Source organism: Homo sapiens, chromosome 16 (assembly GCF_000001405.40).
Source record: "Homo sapiens chromosome 16, GRCh38.p14 Primary Assembly".
Lineage (NCBI taxonomy): Eukaryota > Metazoa > Chordata > Mammalia > Primates > Hominidae > Homo > Homo sapiens.
Window position 1 is genome coordinate 79,858,046 of NC_000016.10, and position 6,000 is coordinate 79,864,045.

Genomic DNA, 6,000 nt, shown 5'->3' on the forward strand with positions numbered 1-6,000 from the left:
TTTTCTTGTTTTAAATTTACTGATTTTTTAAAATAAATCATGATTTGTGGTTTTGTTTTCTTTTCCCATTTCAATCAAGATGATTATAAGTAATCTCCTTTAATTTGATAATATAATTAATAGTATTGATTGATATTTTTACCTTCATTATTAAACTAATTTTACTTTCCAATGGTAAATTCTGTTTGACTAGGATATGTTGTTGTTGTTGCTGCTGTTACTATTATTTTTTATTGGGGTAACACATTAATAGGCTTGATTTGCTAGGTGTTATTCTGGATTGTTTTGTGTTTTTATTCATAGGTAAGATTAAACTATAAATTTTACTTGACTAGCTTGACATATATACCAGTGTATGTGTGTGTGTGTGTGTGTGTGTGTATATATGTGTAAATATATATATATATATACACATATATACACACACATACATATATATAGAGAGAGAGAGACAGAGAGACTTAGATACCCTTTGTATATAAAATCTGTTATATACAGATATATATAATCTGATAAAATAGGATATAGCTATATTCTGACTGAATCAGAATATATATGTTATATATACTCAGAGTATAAATATATGTTATATATATGCAATCAGAATATATATGACAAAATTATATATATTCAATATATATATTCAAAAATTAAAAAATAAATATATATATATCCAGTTCTTAATGTTACAAGTCCCCTTGAAATCTTCAGTTTTGTATTGGAAGTTTTGGAAATTTTTCCTATTAGAAAATGTTCAAACTTGTTTTCTTTCCTAATGATTTGTCTATTTAATCTACTTTTTAAAATGTATTATTATTAAAATGGTTCTTTTACTCTCTCACAATTTCCAAATTTGTAATATATCTTCAGTTATATTCCCTTTACTGTTTCAAATATTATTTACTTCTATTTTGTCTCTCTCTGTTTTTCTTTCTCTCTCTAATCAGCCATGCCAGATCTATGTCTATTTTCCCTCTAGCACAATAGTGGCTACATGGTAAATGCCTAAAAGATATTTTCTGATGAACTGTCATTCTGAAAGGAAGAACACAGGGCTTGGCGTGTAAGATTACCTGCCTGCAATCTGGTGGCAGAAATGTAGCAGAACTTTGAAGCTCTGCCTGTAATTATCACCCTATACTAAGTCCCAAATGGATTAAGCAAGGCACCCTGTGATCCCCCAGTCAAGTAGGAGATATTATATATGTACATAGGACACACAGTGAAGCAAGTCCTCCCATGGCCAATCAAAGGAGAAAAAAAGGTGACTCCTGGCTGGATGAAGTCTTCTTGGTGCAGATGACTTTTAACTGAGAGTTGGAGGTAAGGAATCCTATTATTTGGCCCATTGCAGCTGTTGGTGCTATGTGCTGTGCAGAAGTCCTCTAGGGCTCAGGGACACTGTAGCCCAGAAAACACACACACACACACACACACACACACACACACACACACACACACACACAGTAACCGCGCTGGTAACACCAAAATCAACCACGCATGCAATCCTGATTCCAAAAATATGCAATATTCAGACAAGAGTTTAGGTAGTAATTCTAGTGGCACTTTAAGGAGGCTTTATGAGATGAGTTTGGAAGCAAAAAGCACAGTTGCTCTTTAGCAAGGAAAACATAAAGCAATATTGCTGCAGATTGAGCAACAAGAGGCTTAGTAATTCACAAACTTGTTCCACGTGAAATGTTGATCTGCAGGCTAAATGCTCTAATTTATATTGTGATATATTGTGTTTTCTAATGTGTTCTTCATGTGTGTGTGTGTATGTGTGTGTGTGTGTCGTATGGATATTTATTTATTTATTGCATGTTTCCATGATGTTGTACTTACTGTTCTTTCTGATAGAGCTACCTGTGCCCCTGCATTGCTTAGTGAATTACTAGTAATTGTCCGTAAGTTTTCTGAACCCTCAACTCTTCCAAGAATCTCTCTCTGACATCCCAGTCCGTAATGTGAGTGAGGGGTCTCTTCTTAGTGTTGCCCACAACTCTTGGAGCCTATCTCAGTGTACTGTATTTAGTGGCATGCTTGTGGGTGTGTTTTCTCCAGCAGGCAGGAACTCCTTAATGGGAAGAAGGGCTGCACCTGTCATTTCTCTCTCTCCTGTGCATCTGGAACATAGTGAGCCTTTGGCAACATGCTTTGAATGCCCTAAGCAAGGGACTGACCCCACTAGCTGATGGCAAGTGGCTGGTTCTGTTACTGCAGTTTCTAACCTGTGTAGGGTCCAGTTCCTTAGCCACACCTGAATTATTTGTAAGGCAATGGGAATTAATTTGTCATAGCTGTAGAGTGTCTCCCTTTGCAAAATACGGACTGCAGCAGATGCTGAGGACTATCTTAGTAGGGGTGACATCTTTTCTTTTTGAACTTGGTTTTAGGTTAAGGAGAGTTACAGGCAATTGGCCTTCTTCAGAGGCAGCTGCATGACAGAGGGTTTGGGAGAGTCCCAGCCAAAGAGGAAACTCAAGGCACCAGCCCTTTACATAAGCCCTGCTGGATGACAACACTGTCCTCCTTTCATCCCACCCAAGGGCTAGGTACATCTTGTCTCTTCAGTCTAGAATGCTCCCCGTCTCTCATTCCACAGTCATACATGCATGCACAGAACACACACTCATGAACACATGCAGACGCAGTCACAGAAACAGTCCATGCATGTGCGCGCGCACACACACACACACACACACACATACACATTTCACCTATGTGGGGCCCTCTCCTTTTTTAGATTTCTGTCACTTCTTATGGAAGACTTCCTCATCTTGGTTATATGCTCTCCTGGAACTGTGACCCTCTCTTTCAGATATTAATAAAAAATGTGTACCCAGCTTGTAATTATAGGACCAGTAATGTGCTTATCTAGCAAAGGTCTGTCTTTACCTATAAACTGTAAGCTCCCTGAAGGCAGACACCGTCTCTGTTTTTGTTTTTAATGTCCTATGCATAGTACAGTGTGTACTGGATGCTTAAAAGTTGTCAAATACATGTAAAATATTAATGAGTTGCCCTTCAGAACACTTATGTTGGAGTAGCAGACTCATTCCTTTATATACAATTAATAATGCATGAGCCACGATAGTAAAGGTATTCCTAATCTCCATTGCAGACAGCGGATGATGACTGGATGGGGATACTGCTTCAGAATTTTCTTCTAAACCAGGTACCAAGGCACATAAAGTCAGCCTCTTTAATTTATAGTCACATCTCACTTCAGACCTCAAGTGAGATTACCAAATTTTATCAGTCACTTTAGCCTCCATTGTTAGCCAAACATCTTCCAATTGTTTCCAAAATAGATCCTTCCTTCTTTGAGTGACAGTGATGCCTGCTTTGGTTGGAAGGTCCCAGCCAAATCTCCCATCGATAAGTGGGGGATTGCTGCCCTCCTCCCACCAGTCCAGTCTTCAGCACAGAGCCAGGGGCTGCAGAAGAGCGCAGGCTTGGGTCTAGAATGCATGGGCTTCAATCCCAGGTCCTCTGTGCAGGTCTTAGGGCTGAAGTGCAGGGTTTCGCTGCGCAAGGCTGTCATTGCTCCTCGGTCAAATGGGGGTAAGTTCCTCCCTTGGAGGTCTGTTGACAGGATAACATGGTGTAATGGATGTGTATGTTGATTAGCACATTCCTGTACTAAGCAGAAAGTTGCTCCGTGAATGTTAGCACTAGAGTTGTTAGTACACATGCTAAGTCATAAAAGAGTATCACTCTTCAGCAGAGGACTTTAAATTATATGACTGTGGTGGATTGTATTAAAGTTCAGCAAACATTCTCTCTCCCCTTGACCCACCATTCCAATTTGGGCTTGGTCGTGTTTCCCATTTGGCCAATGGGATGTGATCGGATGTGATCAAGAGCTAGTTCAAGCCAAGTCTGTAAGAGGCTCCGTGTGTTTCTGCTTGCCTTCCTTGATCCTGCCCACTGCGATGGGAAGGACACTCCCCTATGAGATGCTGCCTTTGCAACCTGGGACCTAAAATGAGAGGCACTTGGAGCTGGCGTGAAGTGAAGCCTGGCCGAGGCTGGCTGAGCCACAGTCAACGTGCAAACCTGGTGTGTTTGTAAATCACTCAGATTTGGAGGGTTGTTCATGATATCACTGCAGCAAAACCAGGGGCAGTAACCCACATAGAAACCAACACGCTGTCTCTCACCGGTGTACTTTGAAGGGCATGAGCCTCCTTTAGATGGGTAGGTTCTGGTGCTTTCTGCAAAATAACCAGTTGCCCGGCTTCACACATTTATTTCTAAGTCATTGTAGCACACTCTTCTCTTTGGCCAACAGCCATGTTGGATAAATCTTGTAACCTCTCTGAAACTCCATTGGTTTATAATCTAAGGGAATAAACACACGTTGAGCTCAAATTTGTGATTGTCTTGAGTGTTATTTAGATGGAAGTACAAGAAACCCATGTCAGAATATGAAGCTTGAGTCAAGTTGCTCATATCAGAGTAAAACATTCAGAATAAATTGAAAGTTCCATTCCGTAAAAGGCAATTACAAAAGCAGGGAGGGGAAGTCCAAAGAAACCCTTTCAGGGCCTAAAATTTTCTTAGTACTTTCATGTCCCTTTAAAAAGAAAAATGACATTAAAATAATTTTAAAGGTTTTGACTTAAGCCCATGGACATAAGGAAATTCCCCTGCTTAGAATCAAGTTCTCACTATCTGGCCCAGCTTGCATTAGGAATGGACTCCTGTGGAGATCCAATCTGGTGGTTTGGTTCCAGCTGAGAATGGCTATGCCGAAATTATTATGGCGCCAACCTTCCCATAATAAGCCGTACGTGGCTCTTAGCCTTGTAAGTGTCATAAGGACCTTTTGGATAGAAATCTGCCAATTTTTTCCACGCAGTCACTCTATTTGGGGTTTGTCTCTGCAGGTTTTCCTGGTACCGGTTCTGGCCTTTTAAGATTTTTGGCCTTTTTTATATAAACGTATAGATGTTCTAGCTCAGTTATAAGTCTCTGATTGACAGAAAGATTTGTAATTTTTTTTTCTGTTGTTCTTCAGTTCTTCATTTCTCATTATGTTCCAGTTTTTTTTTTTTCCTGGTTTTACTCAGATTTCACACCTAAGAGGTAGGCGTTGGAATCTTTTGGTGGGTCATTATCTGTTAAATTGACAAAGCTATTAATCAGTTAAGTAACAAGTTGTTGAGGGAGAAACTTGGTAATTCAGTTCCTGTGTTTCCATGTAATTGTTGGTGTTCCTCCTGTCACTGTTGCTGTTTTGCCTAGAGAGCTGCTGGACAGGAGACCAACAGATTCCTGGCTACCTGTCAGGCAGCCATCAAATAGTAATGATTTCCCGTCACTGCCAAGCATGTTCTAGATTTGAACCAATGACCTGAGAAGAAAGTCTCCACAGCCTATTACCAAATTAGCCCCTGAGTCTTTTGTTTTCCCAACAAACACCCTTTCCAATAAAATTTCATTTTTGCCGTTAGACTGGTCAACTTGCCTACAAATCCCTGAAGCGTGAAATTAATTGAACTACAGAGTTGGGCAAACAAGCTCAGAAGTGAGCTATTCAGAAATAGAAGCCAGTATTTCAGACATTGGTCCATTTGGAAAAAATGGCCTTGGTTTCCCTCTTGCATCTTGGGAGTGGGATTAGGGGTGGATGGGCGGGAGGTACACAGAAGTGGTTATGCAGTTTACTATTCCAAACTCTCATTTTCTTATGGCTTCAAGTTGATGAACACAGCATGCTAGGGGCTGAGACTCCTAGAGATTAAAAGCTGAATCACCCTGGAGAATCTTTCTTCCTATGACCAGGTTACCCGGGAGTTTCAGCTTGATTGCATTAGGAAAAGAGTTTCATAGCATTTCAAACCTTTTTTTTTTGAACTTTTATCTTTCAGCTATGAACCCACTACGAGTAGCAGAAGCTTCCTGTGGTAGGAAACAGCTTATCTCTTAAATTCTATCCCAGCAACATCTGCATAGTTCAAACCTTATTGGAGAGCCAACGTATTTCTCTTA